The 21,725-nt window shown below is 38.8% G+C and overlaps 1 pseudogene; it reads left to right on the top strand.

The window, feature by feature from the left end:
• Positions 1-21,725, top strand: part of SLC9B1P1 (solute carrier family 9 member B1 pseudogene 1) — a 45,306-nt pseudogene that overhangs the window by 7,817 nt on the left and 15,764 nt on the right.

Here is a 21,725-nt window from a genome sequence, read left to right as displayed (position 1 = left end):
TTGATTATTTCTTTTGCTGTGCAGAAGCCCTTTAGTTTAATTAGGTCGCAATTGTGAATTTTTGTTTTTGTTGCAATTGCTTTTGACATCTTTGTCATAAAGTGTTTTCCAGAATTGAAATTTCCTAGGATATGTCCAGAATGGCCTGTATGGAGAATGGTATTTCTTAGGCTATCTTCCAGGGTTTTTATAGTTTTGGGTTTTACATTTAAGTCTTTAATCTACCTTGAGTTGATTTTTGTAAACGGTGAAACGTATGGAGTCATTTCAATTTTCTGCATACGGCTAGCCAGTTATCCCAGCACAATTTCCAAGTAGGGATTCCCTTCCCCATTGCTTGTTTTTGTCAAGTTTGTTGAAGAGTAGATGGCTATAGGTGTACAGCTTTATTTCTGCATTCTGTAACCTGTTCCACTGGTCTATGTCTGTTTTTGAGTTCCTTATAGATTCTGGATATTAGTACTTTGCTGGATGCATAGTTTGTAAAGATTTTCTCCCACTCTATAGGTTGTCTTTTTACTCTGCTGATTATTTCTTTTGATGAGCATAACCATGCTGTTTTGCTTACTGTAGCATTGTAGTACAGTTTGAAGTCAGGTAGTGTGATGCTTTCGACTTTGTTCTTTTTGCTTAGGATTGCTTTGGTAATTTGGGCTTTTTTTTTTCTTTTTTTTTTTTTGGCTCCAAATGAATTTTAGAATGCTTTTTTTTTAATCCTGTGAAAAATGTCATTGGTGGTATGATAGGAATAGCATTGACTCTGTAAATAGCCTTAGACAGTATGGCCATTTTAACAATATTGCTTCTTCCTATCTGTGATCATGGAATGTTTTCCTTTTGTTTCTGTTGTCTCTGATTCTTTGAGCACTTGTTTGTAATTTTCATTTTAGAGATTTTTCACCTCCCTGATTAGCTGTATTCCAAGGTATTTTGTAGTTTTTTTTGTGGCTACTGGGAATGGGATTGCATTCTTTATTTGGCTGTCAGCTTGGATGATGTTAATGTATAGAAATGTTACAGATTTTTGTACATTGATTTTTGTATCCTGAAACTTTGCTGAAGTCATTTATCAGATCTGGGAGCTCTCGAGAGGCTACTATGGGGTTTCCTTGGTATAAAAGTGTTTCACCTATGAAGAGGCATGGTTTGACTTCCATTCTTCCTATTTAGATGTCTGTGTTTCTTTCTCTTGCCTATTGCACTGGCTAGGACATCCAGCACTATGTTGAATAGGAGTAGTGAGAGTGGGCATCCTTGTCTTGTTCCAGTTCTTAAAGGGAATATTCCAGCTTTTTCCCATTCAGTGTGAAGTTGGCTGTGGGTTTGTCATAAATGGCTCCAATTATTTTGAGGTATGCTCCTTCAGTAACTCATTTGTTGAGGGTTTATATCATGAAGGGATATTTTTATTTTTAGTCCTTTTTTATGATGAATCACGTTTATTGATTTGCATATCTTGAACCAAACTTGCATCCCAGGGATAAAGCTTACTTGATCATAGTGGACTAGCTTTTTGACATGCTGCTGGATTCAGTTGGCTTATATTTTGTTGAGGATATTTGCATCTATGATCATCAGGGATGACTGTCCTGAAGTTTTCTTTTTTGTTGTGTCTCTGCCAGGTTTTCATATCTGAATGATGCTGACCTCATAAAATGAGTTAGGGAGGGATCCTTCCTCCTCCATTTTTTGGAATAATTTCAGTAGCATTGGTACCAGCTCTTCTTTACACTTCCGGTAGAATTTGTCTGTGAATCTGTTGGGTCCTGGGCTTGCTGTTTTTTTTTTTTTTTTTTTTTTTGGCTCAGAGACTTTTTATTACTCATTCAGTTTCGAAACTCATTTTTGGTTTGTTCAGGATTTCAATTTCTTCCTAGTTCAATCTTGGGAGGTTGTATGTTTCCAGAAACTTACCCATTTGTTGTAGGTGTCCTACTTTGTTAGCATAAACATGTTCATCATAGTCTCTGACAGTTTTTTGTATTTCTGTGTGGTTGGCGGTAATGTCCACTTTACCACTTCTGATTGTATTTTTTGTATCTTCTCTTTTTTTTTTCCTTATTTGTCTAGCTAGTGACCTATCAAATTTATTTATTCTTTCGAAGAACCAGCTTTTAGTTCATTTATCTTTTGTATGGCTTTTCATGACTCAATTTCATTCCATTCTGCTCTGATTTTGGTTATTTTCTTCTGCTAGCTTTGGGTTGGATTCCTCTTGTTTTTCTATTTCCTTTAGGTATGATATTAGGTTGTTAATTTAAGATCCTTCTAACTTTTCAATATGGGCATTTAGCACGATAAACTTTTCCCTTAACACTGCTTTGTCTGTCTCTTAGAGAGCCTAGAATGTTATATCTTTGTTTTAATTAGTTTCAAAGAATTTATTGGTTTCTGCCTTAATTTCATTGTTTACCCAAAAGTCATTCAGGCACAGGTTGTTTAATTTCCATGTAATTGTATGGTTTTGAGAGTTCTTCTTAGTATTGACTTCTATTTTTGTTACACTGAGCGGTTCAAGAGTGTGGTTGGCATGATTTCAGGGGTTTCTTTTAATTTATTGAAAATAATTTTAGACTGATAGTGTGATCAATTTTACAATATATGCTATGTACAGATGAGAGGAAGATATATTCTGTTGTTGTTGGGTGGAGTGTTCTGTAGAAGGCTGTTATGTCCATTTAGCCAAGTGTTGACTTCAAGTCCTGAATATCTTTGTCCATTTTCTGTCTCTATGATCTGTCTAGTACCGTCAGTGAGATGTTGAAGTCTCTCACTATTATTCTGTGGTTATCTAAGTCTCTCTATAGGTCTCTATGAACTTGTTTTACAAATGTGAATGCTCCAGTTTTGAGCACATTTATCTTTCAGACTGTTAAGTCTTCTTGTTGAATTGAACCCTTTATCATTAAGTAGTGCCCTTCTTTGTCTTTTTGATTGTTGTTGGTTTAAAGTCTATTTTGTCTGAATTAGAATAACAATGCTTACCCTGTTTTGTTTTGCATTTGCTTGGTAGATTTTTTTCCATCCTTTTACTTCAAACCAATGGGTATTGTTGCATATGAGCTAGGTCTCTTGACAACAGATACGGTCGGGCTTTGCTTCTTTACCCAACTTGCCATTCTGCGAGTTTTAAGCGGGGCATTTATACTGTTTACATTCACAGCTAATATTGGTATTTATAGCTTTGGTCCTGCCATTATGTTGTTAGCTGGTTATTATGCAGACTTGATTGTGTTGTTACTTTACAATGTCAATGGTCTATGTACTTAAATGTATTTTTGTGGTGGCCATTAACAGTCTTTCACTTCCATGCTTAGCACTCCCTTAAGGACCTCTTTTAAGGCATGTCTGGTGGTAACAGATTCCGTTAGCATTTGTTTGTCTGGAAAAGATCTTACTTCTCCTTCACATATGAAGTTTAGTTTGGCTGGATATTAAGTTCTTGGTTGAATTTTTTTTTTTTTTTTTTTTTTTTGCGACAGAGTCTTTCTCTGTAACCAGGCTGGAGTGCAGTGGTGCTATCTCAGCTCACTGCAACCTCCACCTCCTGGGTTAAGTGATTCTCTTGCCTCAGCCTCCTGAGTAGCTGGGACTACAGACACGCACCACCATGCCCAGCTAACTTTTGTATTTTTATTAGAGATGAGGTTTCACCATGTTGGCCAGGATGGTCTTGATCTCTTGAACTTGTGTTCCGCCCCCCTCAGCTTCCCAAAGTGCGGGATTACAAGCATGAGCCACCACACCCGGCCAAGTTTTTTTTTTTTTTTTAAGAATGCTGAAGGCCGGGCATGGTGGCTCACACATGTAATCCCAGCACTTTGAGAGGCCGAGGTGGGCAGATCATGAGGTCAGTAATTTGAGACCACCCTGGCCAATATGGTGAAATCCTGTCTCTACTAAAATTACAAAAAATTGCCGGGTGTTGTGGTGCGCACCTGTAGTCCCAGCTACTTGGGAGGCTGAGGGAGAAGAATTGCTTGAACCCGGGAAGTGGAGGTTGCAGTGAGCCGAGATAGCAACAGTGCACTCCAGCCTGGGCAACAGAGTGAGATTCCGTCTCGAAAAAAAAAAAAAGAATGCTGAATATAGGTCCCCAATTTCTTTTGGATTGTAGAGTATCTTATAGTTCCACTGTTAGCCTGATGGGATTCCCTTTGTATGTGACCTGCCCTTCACTTTAGCTGCATTTCTTATTTTTTTATTTCATGTTGACCTTGGAGAATCTGATGACTGTCTGTCTTGGGGATGGTCATCTTGTATAGTATCTCACAGGATTCTCTGCATTTCCTGGATTTAAATGGTGACTTCTCTAGCAAGATTTGGGAAATTTTTGTGGGCAGTAACCTCAAATATGTTTTCCAACTTGCTTGTTCTTTCTCCCTTTCTTTGAGTGATGCCTTGAGTCATATGTTTGGTCTCTTTACATAATCTCAGATTTCTCAGAGGTTTTGTTCATTCTTTTTTGTTCTTTATTTTCATCTGACTGAGTTGATTCAAAGAAGTGGTCTTTGAGATCTGAGATTCTTTCCTCAGCTTGGTCCGTTCTGATGTTAGTATTTGTTATTGTATTATGAAATTCTTGAGGTGCATTTTTCAGCTCTATCAGTTTAGTTTGGTTCTTTCTTAAAATGCCTATTTCATCTTTCAGCTCTTATGTCGTCTTATTGGATTTCTTAGATCATTTGCATTGGATTTTGACTTTCTTCTGAATCTCAATGATCTTTGTTTCTATCCAGATTCTGAAATCTATGTCTGTCATTTAATCCTGGTTAACAACCATTGTTGGAGAGTTAGTATGATTGCTTGAAGACAGGAAGACATTCTGGCTTTTTATATTGCCAGAGTTCTTGCACTGGTTCTTTCACATCTGTGTGGGCTAAGGTTCCTTTAATGTTTTGAATCACTGTCCTTTGGATGGAGTTTTTTCCTTTTTTATATTCTTTAATGCCCTTGAGGATTTGACTGTGGCACAAGGTAGTTTCAGTCAAATGGCTTCATTTCTGGAAGATTTCAGGGGGCAAAGGCTCAGCCCAGCACTCCTGAACTGCACGCTCTAATTTTGCAACGCTGGTAACATACCCACAGATTTGTTGTCTGGCCCTTCAATGTTAAGCACTGAGGTGTTCCCAGTCGACTGGCAACAACACTCTGATGGGGTGTGCCAGACAAAGTGCTTCATTGTAGTGATTGTAGCAAGGTCCTCACTCACACATATGTGCCAGGAGCAGCAGCACACAGCAGGTATGCATGTGTTGGCAGGGGTGCAGTGCTGGCAGGAGTGGAATGGGAGTGTTCTGCATACTTGCACGTGCCAGCCAGGGCAATGGTGTTGTGGGGTGCACTCATGTGCCGCTGAAGACAGAGTGGCAGCATCTTTATGAGTTTTATGTTATCATTCTAGATCTTTAAAAATAATGTTCTGGACTTCTAACAAATGTATTTGTGAACCCAGAGAAAAAAAGAGTTTTATTTTGTGCATTTTTACTTAATCATACCCAAGAAAATTTTACTTAACAATTTTTTCTTTTCACTCAAGAATAGTCTTGAGGTTTATCCATCTCAAGATGGATACACATGTAGTTTATTCCTTTTAATTGTATAAGATTACATTGTATGTCAACAGCAGATTTTATTTACAATGTTATAACAAAAATAGCATTTTATTTGTCTCATTTTACATAAATACAAGTTTGTTTAGAATAGTTACCTGGGTTACATGCATTTTTAGTTTGATGTATACTGCCAAAATACTTTCGGTATGGCCACTTTAATTTGCCCTAATAACAATAGCTTAGGAGCATACCTGTTGTTCTTGAAAATCCTTGCAAATCCTTAATATTATTAAATTTTATAATGTTTTCCAGTCTGATAATTGAAAAAATGGCGTATTTTTATTTTAATTTGTATTTCTGTGATTATTCACAAGCTTGAATATCTTTTATATACGTGTTGTCCTTCAGCTTTTCCTTAGCCTGTTCATATCCTTTGTCCATTTTTTTGTTGAGTTGGTCTTCTTTATTAGTTATATCTGTTATAGGCATTTGTAAATTATATGTATTGCAAATATCAGTAGATATTTAATTTTGTTTGTGATGATTTTTTTTCACTCTAAAAAGTGTGTTTTGTTATTTTCAACAGAGAGAATTGCCAATATACCACACCGTTCACTTGACTTTGAAAATGAAAAAGAGAAAAAGGGGGAGAAAGAGCAGAATTGCTTTTGAAGTAGTACTTTATTATAGTACTTTTGAAGTTGCTTTTGAAGTACTCCTTTAATATAATTGAACGTATCACAATCTCTTTTTATGTCTAATGCCTTTGTATGTATCAGTCAAAAGGTCCTTTTTACCTCATGATCACAAATATATTATTCTACATCTTTTTGTTGTTGTTCAGAGTCTTGCTGTCACCCAGGCTGTAGTGCAGTGGCATGATCTCATCTCACTGCAACTTCCACCTCCCAGGTTCAAGTGATTCTCCTGCCTCAACCTCCCAAGTATCTGGGACTACAGGCATGCACCACTGCACCCAGCTATTGGTTTCACCATGTTGGCCAGGCTGTTCTCAGATTCCTGATCTGTCCACCTCAGCCTCCCAAATTGCTGGGATTACAGGTGTGAGCCATCACACCTAGCCCACTACATTTTCTTATTACTACTTTTCCTTTTGAGCTTTTAACATTTATTTTGTGTAAGGATCTATCTATATTCCTTTCCACATAAATAGTTATCTCAACACCATTTTTGAAAGATTTCTTTCTTTCTCCCACTGATTTAAAGTACCAGTTGTATGATGTAACAAATCCCATAGATTTGTTTCCACACTTTGTATTCTCTTTTCTTCCAATTTATTTTTTCTTTTTATATGTCATTATTATTCAGTTTTAACTATTTTACCTTTACAAAAACAGTATCTTGTTTTCTTAAGTTTACTTGATCTTTCATTCTAAGATCTTATTCTTCCAAATGAATTTTATAATCAGCATTTCATGCTCAGTAAAAATCCCAGCAAAGATTTTGATTGGTGTATCTCTGATTAATTCATTTGGGGGAGAGGTTACATCTATATATTATTGAGGCTTTGGCCGGGGGTGGTGGCTCACACCTATAATCCCAGCACTTTGGGAGGCCAAGGCAGGCATATCACTTGAGGTCAGGAGTTCAAGACCAGCCTGGCAAAAATGGTGAAACACCGTATCTACTAAAAACACAAAAACTAGCCAGGCGTGGTGTTGGGCAATGGTAAAATTGGGGCTTTTTAGTTCACACTTGTGAAATGTCTCTCTAAGTATTCAGGTATTATCTTAATTATTATATTATATTCACAATTTTTTATAAAATTATAGACTGTCTTCACAGTTTTGTTCTTAGATACTTTGTTTTTAATTGATGTTGTGGATTAAATTCTCTTTGATCACTTATTCCTGGGGAAGCCAGCTGCCATGTTCTGAGGCAGCCCTGTGGAGAAAACCCCATTGGAAAAAACTGAAGCCTGCAATGGTTACATGAATAAACTTGGAAGCAGATCTTCTCCACCCCACCCTACCTCATGGTAAATCTTAAGTCAAGACATACAACTAAGCCATGCCCAGATTCCTGACCCACAGAAGTCATAAGACAATAAATATTTGTTGTTTTAAGCTGCTATGTTTGGGGATGACTTGTTAAGCAAAATGAGAAAAATAATACAACAGATGATTACAATGTACAGCAGAGTTGAGGAACCACTGAACTAGACCAGTATGTGGTCTTAGATAAGTCTAGTCTCTTCTTCAGCCCACAGGGAAATCTGTAGCATAAACTGTGCCATAGAGTTGTACAGCCAGAAGCAAATCTCACATCAGTCCGTCATTGGCAGATGCTGTCTGGAGGGAAAGTAGAGGGGTGCACAACCTCCCTCGTATTCCCAGGTAGGTGCTTGTCAGCAGGACAAGGGTTCTAGAAACCTGCAGATATTAGCAGCCAACAAGAAGCACTGGGAGATGTGTTCATTGACCTGGTAAATGGATTCTGGCAGAAGCACCAAAAGCATTTCTACACAGGATATACTTTACGCTTTATAAAGTAAATGTAGAAGAGATGAGGTGAAAATCAGGATAAGATATGCCAATAGAAGGTATTCTGTGCAGGAACCTCGCCCTTCCTCATGAGTGTCATCAACCACTCCAGAAATGTTCTCATTTGCCTTTGTAACTTAGATGGCCACACTTGTTTTTTTGGGCAGACAACTCTGTTCCTTCCTTCCTTACTTACTTATTTACTCAAGAGGTAGGAAATGTGTGGAAGGTAGATGTGTCTGACCATTCTTACAGTGGCACTCCAAATAATCAACTATTTGGTTTCCCCAGCGGTCTCTCCTGCTCCCAGAATGTGTCATTTCAGGGCTTGGACCACTTGTAGAAGCACATGTATCTTTTGAGGCAATCTTATTTACATACATTTTGGTTTATGGTTTCCTTTTTTCAATCCTAAATTGTCTGTCTCTTATCTTTCTGGCATATACTTAGTTTCTTGTCCATTGATGATTCACCTTTTGCTTTCTAGTTAGGTTATGGATTTTTCTATTACCTTTACATCTTCACTTCAAAGGATTTAGGAATAGAGGGAGAGGCTGTAACCTGTGCTCAGCCCAACATTTGAAACCACGTCTGTATAAAATTTTAGCCAGCACTAAACAATACATGAAAAGTTTTATCACCATTAAATTGCATTCACTCAAATTTGAAATTCTTCTAAACAATGTTTGTTATAAATTTATTATAAACTACTTGTACTTATAAAACACTACTTGGTTAAAAAGCTGCTTTTAAATTAATTTTCATTCTTTCTTTCAGTTTTGTTCTAGGTGCTGTCTCTCCTGCTGTTGTTGTCCTTTACACGATGGTGTTGCAAGAAAATGGATATGGTGTTGAGGAAGACATTCCAACCTTACTAATGGCTGCTAGCAGTATGGATGACCTTCTGGCTATCACTGGATTCAATACATGCTTGAGCATAGTCTTCTACTCGGGTAAACAAGAAAATATAACAACCGCCAGATCATTCGTGACCTTTTTTATTAGTTCTTTAAACAGGGTTTCTGGCTTTGCTTCTTCATTTATTAACCAAGACTGTTCAATTTAACATCTTTTTAATCTCCATAGAAAGCTCATTCCAGACCAAGGAAGATATTTCAGTGGCTTAAGATACCACTACTTAACACACATGATCTCACTTTAATAATCATGTGACAATTAATTTGATAAACCATATTATTACTATTTATCTGCTTATGTTGCTTTTGAATTTTATCAGTTCTCATTAGAAAAAATTAAGCAGCAGTATTATTTGTACTACTAATATTTTAATAGGCATTTATTTGAAATGCACCTTTTTGGCCATCCTAATAAACAACTGGTTGCTCTATTATAAGACAACATAAACATACAGAGCTGGGACAGCCATGTGCCTTTTTGGTAGTGTTAGGACAAGATCCTGCACCAGTTCTGATTCCCAAGGTGATATCTGGTCTTGAATATCACTACAGAAATTGTGAAACTAAACGTTTCCACATTTAGTAATGCTTTAATTATCTGCAATGTTTGAGACTTCTGTATTATTGAAGCGCTAAACTATTTTTAAGTTGAAAAGTAATATATATAGTTTTATAGTTTCTCTTAAAATAAGAAAATATAAATAAATAAGAAAAAGAGGAAAAGTTAAAAATAAAATCTGCAATAGTCACATCCAGAAGAAAAGAATCATTTCCTTCTGAACCTTTTGATATAAATCCACCCATATTCCCTTCCCTTCCCTTCTTCCCTTCTTCCTTTCCCTTCCCTTCCCCTCTCCTCCCCTTCCCTTCCCTTACCCCTCTCTCTCTGTCAAATATTCTTATAAAAATCAGTGAATATTTACCAACATGTCCTTTTATTTATTTTTTTATTTTTTGAGGCGGAGTCTTGCTCTGTCACCCAGCTTGGAGTGCAGTGGCACAATCTCAGCTCACTGCATGCTCTGCCTCCCGGGTTCATGCCATTCTCCTGCCTCAACCTCTTAAGTAGTTGGGACTACAGGCGCCCGCCACCACGCCCGGCTAATTTTTTTTTAATTATTTTTAGTAGAGTCAGGGTTTCACCGTGTTAGCCAGGATGGTCTTGATCTCCTGACCTCGTGATCCACCTGCCTCGGCTTCCCAAAGTGTTGGGATTACAGGCGTGAGCCATCGCACCGGCCTAATATGTTCTTATAACCTGAATTGTTTTACACTTAACTGTATATCACAAACATGTTTCTTTTCAGTAAATGTATTTGTATATCATTTTTAATAGTTGTTTAGCTTAATGAAAGAGTATTCAATGTGCTGCATCATGATTAATTATCCTGTTCAAAATTAAAGTAAACTCCAATATTTACTATTAAAACAATAACTCGTTGTGCTGCTATAAAAATATTTTTTTAAATTAAAAAATTGGCCGGGCATGGAGGCTCACACCTATAATCCCAGCACTTTGGGAGGCCAAGAAGGGTGGATCACTTGAGGTCAGGAGTTCAAGACCAGCCTGGCCAACCAACATGGTGAAACCCCGTCTCCACTAAAAATACAAAACATAGCCAGGCATGGTGGTGGGCATCTGTAATCCCAGCTACTCAGGAGGATGAAGCAGAAGAATCACTGGAACCCAGGAGGCGGAGGCTGTATTGAGCTATACAGCCTGGGCAACAGAGCGAGACTCTGTCTCAAAAATTTTTTTTTAATTAAAAATTAATACTTAATTGAACACATAGAGAAATATTTGTAGCTAATCTTCATATTTTCTTAAGCTTAAATGTGTAATTGTTGATCTAAAAGGTATATACATTTATGAGTGTTCTGAAACATATTGCCACAATATCATGTCCTACCAGGGTACATAAACTTGTCATTTCCTCTCACCTCTCTTCAAAACTTGGTATTACTAGCCTTTTTCATCTTTGCTAATTTGATAGGTGAAGGAGGGATCTCTATAAATGAAGTACTTTGAATATTAGTGATGTTAAATATCCATGTTTATTAGTCATTGCCATTTTGTAAATTGCTTTTCTTGAAAGTTTTTTCCCTATTTCTTTTAGGTGGGTTCACCTTTTATTCTTTTTGATTTGTCAAGATTCTGCATTAAATTGAGAATGAAAACCTTTGTTTTATATACTTTAGTTTTTTCAATTTGTAATTTCGCTCTTAATTTTCTCACTCTTTTTACCATTCAGAAGTTAAAGCTTTTTATTGTCAATTGTGAAAATCTTTTCCTTCATGATTGGTATCTGTCATTCTTTCAAAAAATATTGTTATCAGTCATGTTTCAAAAAAATATTTCCAGGCTGGGCCCAATGGCTCACGCCTATAATCCCAACACTTTGGGAGACCAAAGCTGGGGGAATCACTTGAGGACATGACTTCAAGACCAGCCTGGCCAACATAGCAAAGCTCCATCTCTACTAAAAATACAAAAAGTTAGCTGTGTGTGGTGGCACAGGCCTGTAATCACAGCTACTCAGGGGGCTGAGGCAGAAGAATCGCTTGAACCCAAGAGGCAGAGGTTGCAGTGAGCCAACATCACACCACTGCACTCCAGCCTGGGTGACAGAGGGAGACTGTCTGAGAAAAAGAAAAAAAAAATCCTCTTCCTTTTGCCGGCTACTATGCCAAACACTGAGAATAAACAGTAGGCAACAACATCAGCTTTTATTGAATACTTGCTTGGCTCTTGTTCTAAGTTCCATATATGTCACCACTCATTTACAGGTAAGGAAACTGAGAAAGATGTTAAGTAATTTTCTCAAGGACAGAGATCCAATAAGTAGGGGAGCCAAGATGCAAATCTGGCAGTCTCACTCCACACCCACACATTTAACTCTTCTCTTCTCCACTGCCTCCCAACACAACAGAGAGACAAGATCAAATGGTGCATGTTCTCAAGGAGCTTGTATATTAAAGAAAAATTACAAATGGGATGAATATTACATTGTGAAGGTTAATATTAAGTAATTGTCAATTTGATTGGATTGAAGGATCCAAAGTATTTTTCCCGGTTGTGTCTGTGAGGGTGTTGCCAAAGGAGATTAACATTTATTTAGTGGACTGGGAAAGGCAGATCCACCCTCAATGTGGGTGGGCACCATACAATCAGCTGCCAGCATGGCTAGAATAAAGCAGGCAGAAGAAGGTTAGGAGAAGCTGACTTGCTGAGCCTTCTGGCCCTCATCTTTCTCCCATGCTGGATGCTTCCTGCACTCAAATATCAGATTCCAGGTTCTTTGGCTTTTGGACTCTTGGACTTACTCCAGTTGTTTTCCAGGGGCTCTCAGGCCTTCATCCAGAGACTCAAAGCTGGCCTGTCGGTTTCCCTACTTCTGAGGTGTTGGGACTCGGACTCGAGCCAATACTAGATTCCTTGCTCCTCAACTTGCAGACGGCCTGTTGTAGGACTTCACTTTGTGATGGTGTGATTCAATTCTCCTTAATAAACTCCTTTTCATATATATATATATATATATCCTATTAGTTCTATCCCTCTAGAGAACCATGACTAATACCGATTTTGATAATGAGGTAATGAAGTATTATTATAAGATACCTGAGGTTGTGGAAGTGACTTTGGAACTGTGTAATGTGCAGAGTTTGGAACAGTTGGGAGGACTCAGAAGAAGATCAGAAGATGTGGGAAAGTTTGGAACTGCCTAGAGACTTGTTGAATGGCTTTGACCAAACTGCTGATAGTGACTTGGACAGTGAAGTCCATGCTGAGGAGGTCCGAGATGGAGATGAACAACTTGTTGGGAACTGAAGTAAAGGTCACTCCTGCTATGCTTTAACAAAGAGACTGGTGGCATTTTGCCCCTGCCCTACAGATTTATGGAACTTTGAAATTGAGAGAGATGACTGAGGACATCTGGTAGAAGAAACGTTTGTTGTTGTTGTTGTTATAACTTAAGTTCTAGGATACATGTGCACAACGTGCAGGTTTGATACATAGGTATACATGTGCCATGTTGGTTTGCTGCACCCATCAACTCATCATTTACATTAGGTATTTCTCCTAATGCTCTCCCTCCCCGAGCCCTCCAACCCCCAACAGGACCCAGTGCCTGATGTTCCCAGCCCTGTGTCCAAGTGATCTCATTGTTCAATTCCCATCTATGAGTGAGACCATGCGGTGTTTGGTTTTCTGTCCTTGTGATAGTTTTGCTGACAATGATGGTTTCCAGCTTCATCTATCTCCCTGCAAAGGACATGAACTCATCCTTTTTTATGGCTTCAGAGTATTCCACGGTGTGTATGTGTCACATGTCTTAATCCAGTCCATCATTAATGGACATTTGGGTTGGTTCCAATTCTTTGCTGTTAATAGTGCCGCAATAAACATACATGTGCATGTGTCTTTATAGTAGCATGATTTATAATCCTTTGGGTATATACCCAGTAATGGGATTGCTGGGTCAAATGGTAATTCTAGTTCTAGATCCTCGAGGAATCGCCACAATGTCTTTCACAATGGTTGAACTAGTTTACACTCCCACCAACAGTGTAAAAGCTTTCCTATTTCTCCATATCCTCTCCAGCACCTGTTGTTTCCTGACTTTTTAATGATTGCCATTCTAACTGGTGTGAGATGGTATCTCATTGCGGATTTGATTTGCATTTCTCTAATGGCCAGTGATGATGAGCATTTTTTCATGTGTCTGTTGGCTGCATAGATGTCTTCTTTTGAGAAGTGTCTGTTCATACCCTGTGCCCACTTTTTGATGGGGTTGTTTGTTTTTTTCTTGTAAATTTGTTTGAGTTCATTGTAGATTCTGGATATTAGTCCTTTGTCAGATGAGTAGGTTGTAAAAATTTTCTCCCATTCTATAGGTTGTCTGTTCACTCTGATGGTAGTTTCTTTTGCTGTGCAGAAGCTCTTGAATTTAATTAGATCTCATTTGTCAATTTTGGCTTTTGTTGCCATTGCTATTGGTGTTTTAGTTATTAATTCCTTGCCCATGCCTATGTCCTGAATGGTATTGCCTAGGTATTCTTCTAGGGTTTTTATGGTTTTAGGTCTGACATTTAAGTCTTTAATCCATCTTGAATTAATTTTTATATAAGGTGTAAGGAAGTGATCAAGTTTCAGCTTTCCACATATGGCTAGCCAGTTTTCCCAGCACCATTTATTAAATAGGGAATCCTTTCCCCATTTCTTGTTTATGTCAGGTTTGTCAAAGATCAGATGGCTGCAGATGTGTGGTATTATTTCCGAGGGCTCTATTCTGTTTCATTGGTCTGTATCTCTGTTTTGGCACCAGTACCATGCTGTTTTGGTTACTGTAGCCTTGTAGTGTAGTTTGAAGTCAGGTAGTGTGATGCCTCCAGCTTTGTTCTTTTTGCTTAGGATTGTCTTGGCAATGCAGGTTCTTTTTTGGTTCCATATGAACTTTAAAGTTGTTTTTTCCAATTCTGTGAAGAAAGTCATTAGTAGCTTGATGGGGACGTCATTGAATCTATAAATTACCTTTGGCTGTATGGCCATTTTCACGATATTGATTCTTCCTATCCATGAGCATGGAATGTTCTTCCATTTGTTTGTGTCCTCTGTCATTTTGTTGAGCAGAGGTTTGTAGTTCTCCTTGAAGAGGCCCTTCACGTCCCTTGTAAATTGGATTCCTAGGTATTTTATTGTCTTTGAAGCAATTGTGAATGGGAGTTCACTCATGATTTGGCTCTCTGTTTGTCTGTTATTGGTGTATAAGAATACCTGTGATTTTTTCACATTGATTTTGTATCCTGAGACTCTGCTGAAGTTGCTTATCAGCTTAAGGAGATTTGGGGCTGAGATGATGGATTTTTGTAAATATACAATCATGTCATCTGCAGACAGGGACAATTTGACTTCCTCTTTTCCTAATTGAATAACCTTTATTTCATTCTCTTGCCTGATCGCCCTGGCCAGAACTTCCAAGACTATGTTGAATAGGAGTGGCGAGAGAGGGAATCCTTGTCTTGTGCCAGGATTCAAAGGGAATGCTTCCAGTTATTGTCCATTCAGTATGATATTGGCTGTGGGTTTCTCATAAATAGCTCTTATTATTTTGAGATACGTCCCATCAATACCTAGTTTATTGAGAGTTCTTAGCATGAAGGGCTGTTGAATTTTGTCAAAGGCTTTTTCTACATCTATTAAGATAATCATGTGGTTTTTGTCTTTGATTCTGTTTATATGATGGATTACGTTTATTGATTTGCGTGTGTTGAACCAGTCTTGCATCCTAGGGATGCCAACTTGATCATGGTGGATAAGCTTTTTGATGTGCTGCTGGATTCGGTTTGTTATTATCTTATTGAGGATATTTGCATCGATGTTCATCACGGATTTTGGTCTAAAATTCTCCTTTTTTCTTGTTGTGTCTCTGTCAGGCGTTGGTATCAGGATGATGTTGGCCTCATAAAATGAATTAGGGAGGATTCTGTCTTTTTCTATTGATTGGAAAAGTTTCAGAAAGAATGGTACCAGCTCCTCTTTGTACCTCTGGTAGAGTTCAGCTGTGAATCCATCTGGTCCTGGACTTTTTTTTGTTGGTAGGCTATTAATTATTGCCTCAATTTCAGAGACTGTTATTGGTCTATTCAGAGATTCAACTTCTTCCTGGTTTAGTCTTGCAAGGGTGTATGTGTCCCAGAATTTATCCATTTCTTCTAGATGTTCAAGTTTATTTGTGTAGAGGTGTTTATCGTATTCTCTGATGGTAGTTTTTATTTCCCTGGGCTCAGTGGTGATATCCCCTTTATCATTTTTATTGCATCTATTTGATTCCTCTCTCTTTTCTTCTTTATTATCCTTGCCAGCAGTCTATCAATTTTGTTGATCTTTTCAAAAAACCAGCTCCTGGATTCATTGCTTTTTTGAAGGGTTTTTTGTGTCTCTGTCTCCTTCAGCTCTGCTCTGATATTTTTTGCCTTCTGCTAGCTTTTGAATGTGTTTGCTCTTGCTTCTCTAGTTATTTTAATTGTGATGTTAGGGGGTCAATTTTAGATCTTTCCTGCTTTCTCTTCTGAGCACTTAGTGCTATAAATTTCCCCCTACACACTGCTTTAAATGTGTCCCAGAGATTCTGGTACATTGTGTCTTTGTTCTCATTGGTTTCAAAGAACATCTTTATTTCTGCCTTCATCTTGTTATTTACCCAGTAGTCATTCAGGAGCAAATTGTTCAGTTTCCATGTAGTTGTTCAGTTTTGAGTGAGCTTCTTAATCCTAAATTGAATTTGATTGCACTGTGTTCTGAGAGACAGTCTGTTGTGATTTCTGTTCTTTTACATTTGGTGAGGAGTGCTTTACTTCTAATTATGTGGTCAAATTTAGAATAAGTCAGATGTGGTGCTGAGAAGAATGTATACTCTGTTGATTTGGGGTGGAGAGTTCTGTGGATGTCTATTTGGTCTGTTTGTTGCAGAGCTGAGTTCAGGTCCTGGATATCTTTGTTAACCTTCTGTCTTGTTGATCTTTCTAATATTGACAGTTGGGTGTTAAAGTCTCCCATTATTATTGTGTGGGAGTCTAAGTCTCTTTGTAGGTCTCTAAGGACTTGCTTTATGAATCTGGGTGCTCTTGTACTGGTTGCATATATATTTAAGATAGTTAGCTCTTCTTGTTGCATTGATCCCTTTACCATTATGTAATGGCCTTCTTTGTCTCTTGATCTTTGTTGGTTTAAAGTCTGTTTTATCAGAGACAAGGATTGCAACCTCTGCCTTTTTTTGTTTTCCATTTTCTTGGTAGATCTTCCTCCATCCCTTTATTTTGAGCCTATGTGTGAATTTGTGCATGAGATGGGCCTCCTGAATACAGCACACTGATGGGTCTTGACTCTTTCTCCAATTTGCCAGTCTGTGTCCTTTAATTGGGACATTTAGCCCATTTACATTTAAGGTTAATATTGTTATGTGTGAATTTGATCCTGTCATTATGATATTCGCTGGTTATTTGCCCGTTAATTGATGCAGTTTCTTCCTAGCATTGATGGTCTTTACAACTTGGCATGTTTTTGCACTGGCTGGTACCAGGTGTTTCTTTCCATGTTTAGGGCTTCCTTCAGGAGCTCTTGTAAGGCAGGCCTGGTGGTGAAAAAATCTCTCAGCATTTGCTTATCAGTAAAGAATTTTATTTTCTCCTTCACTTATGAAGCTTATTTTGGCTGGACATGAAACTCTGGATTGAAAATTATTTTCTTTAAGAATGTTGAATATTGACCCCCACTCTCTTCTGGATTGTAGGGTTTCTGCCAAGAGATCAGCTGTTAGTCTGACGGGCTTCCCTTTGTGGCTAACCTGACCTTTCTCTCTGGCTGCCCTTAACACTTTTTCCTGCACTTCAACCTTGGTGAATCTGACAATTATGTGTCTTGGAATCGCTCTTCTCAAAGAGTATCTTTGTGTTGTTCTCTGTATCTCCTGAAGTTGAATGTTGGCCTGCCATGCTAGGTTGGGGAAGTTCTCCTGGATAATATCCTGAAGAGTGTTTTACAACTTGGTTCCATTCTCCTCATCACTTTCTGGTGCACCAACCAAATATAGATTTGGTCTTTTCACATGGTCCCATATTTCTTGGAGGCTTTCTTCATTTCTTTTTACTCTTGTTTCTCTAACCTTCTCTTCTCACTTTATTTCATTTATTTGATCTTCAATCACTGATACTCTTTCTTCCACTTGATTGAATCGGCTATTGAAGCTTGTGCATGCATCACAAAATTCTCGTGCCATGGTTTTCAGCTCCATTGGGTCACTTAAGGTCTTCTCTACGCTGTTTATTCTTGTAAGCCATTCGTCTAATCTTTTTTCAAGGTTTTTAGCTTACTTGCAATGGGTTCCAACATCCTCTTTGGCTCAGAGAAGTTTGTTATTACCAACCTTCTGAAGCCTACTTCTGTCAATTCGTCAAAGTCATTCTCCATCCAGCTTTGTTCCATTGCTGACAAGGAGCTATGATCCTTTGGAGGAGAAGAGGTGCTCTGAATTTTAGAATTTTCAGCTTTTCTACTCTGGTTTATCCCCATCCTTCTGGTTTTATCTACCTTTGGTCTTTGATATTGTTGACCTACAGATGGGGTTTTGGTGTAGATGATCTTCTGTTAATGTTGACACTATTCCTTTCTGTTTTTTAGTTTTCCTTCTAACAGTCAGGACCCTCAGCTGCAGATCTGTTGGAGTTTGCTGGAGTTCCACTCCAGACACTGTTTGCCTGGGTATCATCAGTGGAGGCTGCAGAACAGTAAATATTGCAGAACAGCAAATATTGCTGCCTGATACTTCCTCTGGAAGCTTCGTCCAAGAGGGGCAGCCGCCTATATGAGGTGTCTGTCAGCCCCTACTGGGAGGTGTGTCCCAGTTAGGCTACACAGGGTTCAGGGACCTACTTGAGGAGGCAGTCTGTCCATTCTCAGAACTCAAACACCATGCTGGGAAAACCACTGCTCTCTTCAGAGCTGTCAGACAGGGACGTTTAAGTCTGCAGAAGTTGCTGCCTTTTGTTCAGCTATCCCCACCCACAGACATGGAGTCTAGAGGCAATGGGCCTTGTTGAACTGCGGTGGAATCCACCCAGTTCAAGCTTCCCTGGCCGCTTTGTTTACCTACTTAAGCCTCAGCAATGTTGGACGCCCCCCCCCCCTCAGCCAGGCTGCCACCTCGCAGATGGATTTCAGACTGTTGTGCTAGCAGTGAGCAAGTCTCTATGGGTGTGGGACCCACTGAGGCAGGCACAGGAGAGAATCACCTTGTCTGCTAGTTGCTAAGACCTTGGGAAAAGTGCAGTATTTGGGTGGGAGTGCCCTGTTTTTCCAGGTTGTCTGTCACAGCTTCCCTTGGCTAGGAAGGGAAATCCCCCAACCCCTTATGTTTCCCGGGTGAGGCGACACCCCAACCTGTTTCACCTCACCTCTGTGGGCCTGCACCCCCTGTCCAACCAGTCCCAATGAGATGAACCAGGTACCTCAGTTGGAAGTGCAGAAATCACCCGTCTTCTCTGTCGATCATGCTGGGAGCTGCAGACCGGAACTTTTCTTATTTGGCAATCTTGGAAACCATCCAGGACATCTGGTAGAAGAAATTTGTAAGCAGCAAGGTGTTCAATTTATGACCTGAGTGCTCTTAAAAGTGTTCAGTTTTATGCATTCACAAAAATATGTTTTGGAATTAGAACTTATGTTTAAAAGGGAGCAGAGCATGAAAGTTTGGAAGATTTGCAGCCTGATGATGTGATAGAAAAGAAAACCCATTTTCTGGGGAGAAATTCAAGCTGACTGCAGAAATTTGCAGAAGTAACAAGGAGCCAAATGTTAATTGACAAGATAATGGGGAAATTGTCTCCAGGACATGTCAGAGTTCTTCACAACAGCCTCTCCCATCACAGAGTTGGAGGCCTAGGAGGGAAAAAATGTTTTTTTGTGCCAGGCCCAGAACTTTGCTGCTCTGTGCAGTTTTGGGACTTGGTGCCCTGTGTCCCAGCCATGGCTAAAAGGAGCCAATGTAAAGCTCAGGCTGTTGCTTCAGAGTTCAATCCCCAAGCCTTGGCAGCTTCCACGTAGTGTTGGGTTGATATGCTAGTTGGTCATTTGTATTTTTTTTGGAAAAAATGTCTATTCAAGTCTATCTTAGTCCATTCCTGCTGCTATAACAAAATACCTTAGGCTGGTAATTTATAAACAGCAGAAATTTATTTCTTGCATTCTGGAGTGTGAGAAGTCCAAGATTTAGGCTACAACAGACTCAGTGACTGGTGAGGTCACTATATTCACTATACATAGCACCTTCTCTGTGTCCTCACATGTTCAAAAGGGAAAACAAACTCCCTTAAGCCTCTTTTATAAAGGCCCTAGTCCCATTTCTGAGGACGATGACTTCATGAACTAATCATCTCCAAAATGCCCCACCTCTTAGGCTCTAGCATATGAATATTGGGAGAACATTTGGACCATAGCAAAGTCAACTGACCATTTCTCATTTAGGTTGTTTTGTTATTGAGTTGTTATTCTGTATATATTTTAGATATTAACCCCGTATCAGGTATTTGGTTTGCTGGGAGGTTTTTGATTCCTGATTCAGTTACTAGTTATAGGTTTATTAAGATTTTTTATTTTGTGACTTAGTCTTGGTAACTTGCATGTTACTAGGAATCTGTTCATTTCTCTTAGGTTATCCAACTTGTCAGTATATAATCATTCATAGTAGACTCTTAGAATCCTTTTTATTTCTGTAATATCTGTTGCAGTGTCTTCTCTTTTGTTCCTAAAAGAAGTTGAGTCTTCTTTATTTTTTTTCTTAAATATTCTAGCTAATGATTTGTTAATTTTGTTGAACTTTGAAACAACTACTAGTTTCATTGGTTTTTTTCTATTCTCTAGCCTTTTTTTTGGGGGGGGGTGGAATGCAGTTTTGCTCTTATTGCCCAGGCTGTAGTGCAATGTTGTGATCTCCGCTCGCTGCAAACCCCGCCTCCCAGTTCAAGTGACTCTCCTGTCTCAGCCTCCAGAGTAGCTGGGATTACAGGCATGCATCACCTTGCCCGACTAATTTTGTATTTTTTATTAGAGACAGGTTTCTCCTTGTTGCTGAGGCTGGTCTCGAACTCCCCACCTCAGGTGATCCACCTGCCTCGGCCTCCCAAATTGCTGGGATTACTGTTGTGAGCCACTGCACCTGGCCTTCTGCTCTAGACTTTATCATTTCCTTCTTTTTGCTAACATTGGGTTGAGTTCTTCTTTTTCCAGTTTCTTGAGGTGTAAAGCTAAGTTGCTGATTTTAGATCTTTCTTCTTTTTTAAGGTAGGTAGTTAGATATATAAACTGTCCTCTTCATATTCATTTTGCTGCATCCCACAAGCTTTGGAATGTTGTGTTTCCATTTTTATTTGTCTCAAGACATTTTCTAATTTTCCTTGTGATTTATTCTTTGACTATGTATTAATCAGAGTTCTCCAGAGGGTCAGATCCAATAGGAAATATAGACATAGATATAGATATAGATATATAGATATAGATATAGATACATATACATGCATCTATAAGAGAATATATTTACATATATATGAAATATAATATATTAAGGAGAATTGGCTCACATAATTACAAAGACAAAGTCCCACAATAGGCCATCTATAAGTGGGAAATGAGAGAAGCCTACAGCATGGCTCCCAAGGAAGCCAGTGATATGGCTCAGTCCAAATCTGAAAGTCTCAAAACAAGGGAAGCAGACAGTGAAGCCACTAGTCTGAGGCCCAAGGCCTGAGAGCTCCCAAAAGGCTGCTGATGCAAGTCCCAGGGTCCAAAGGCCAAAGAACCTGGAGTTTGATGTGCAAGTGCAAGAGGAGAAAAAGGCATACTGCTCTGGAAGAGAGAGACAGTGCATAAAAAAGAAATCAAAGCAAGCTGAATGTTCCCTTTCTTCTGCCTTTTTGTTCTAGTCACAATTGCAAACAATTGCATGATGCCTACCCACAGTGAGGATGGGTTTTTCTCTCTCAGTCCACTAACTCATCCATCATTCCCCTGTGGCAGCACCCTCACAGATATAACCACACACAGTGCTTCATCAGGCATCTAAGCATCCCTCAATCAAATTGACAATTAATATTAACCACACAGGCCAATTGGTTAAGAGAGTATATTTTTGTAATTTCCACATATTTATTACTTTTCCTTTTTCCTTCTGCTATGAATTTGTAATTTCATTTAATGT

Source organism: Homo sapiens, chromosome Y (assembly GCF_000001405.40).
Source record: "Homo sapiens chromosome Y, GRCh38.p14 Primary Assembly".
Lineage (NCBI taxonomy): Eukaryota > Metazoa > Chordata > Mammalia > Primates > Hominidae > Homo > Homo sapiens.
The sequence above is the reverse complement of the archived record's forward strand: the minus strand, read 5'-3'. Positions and strand labels throughout refer to the sequence as shown.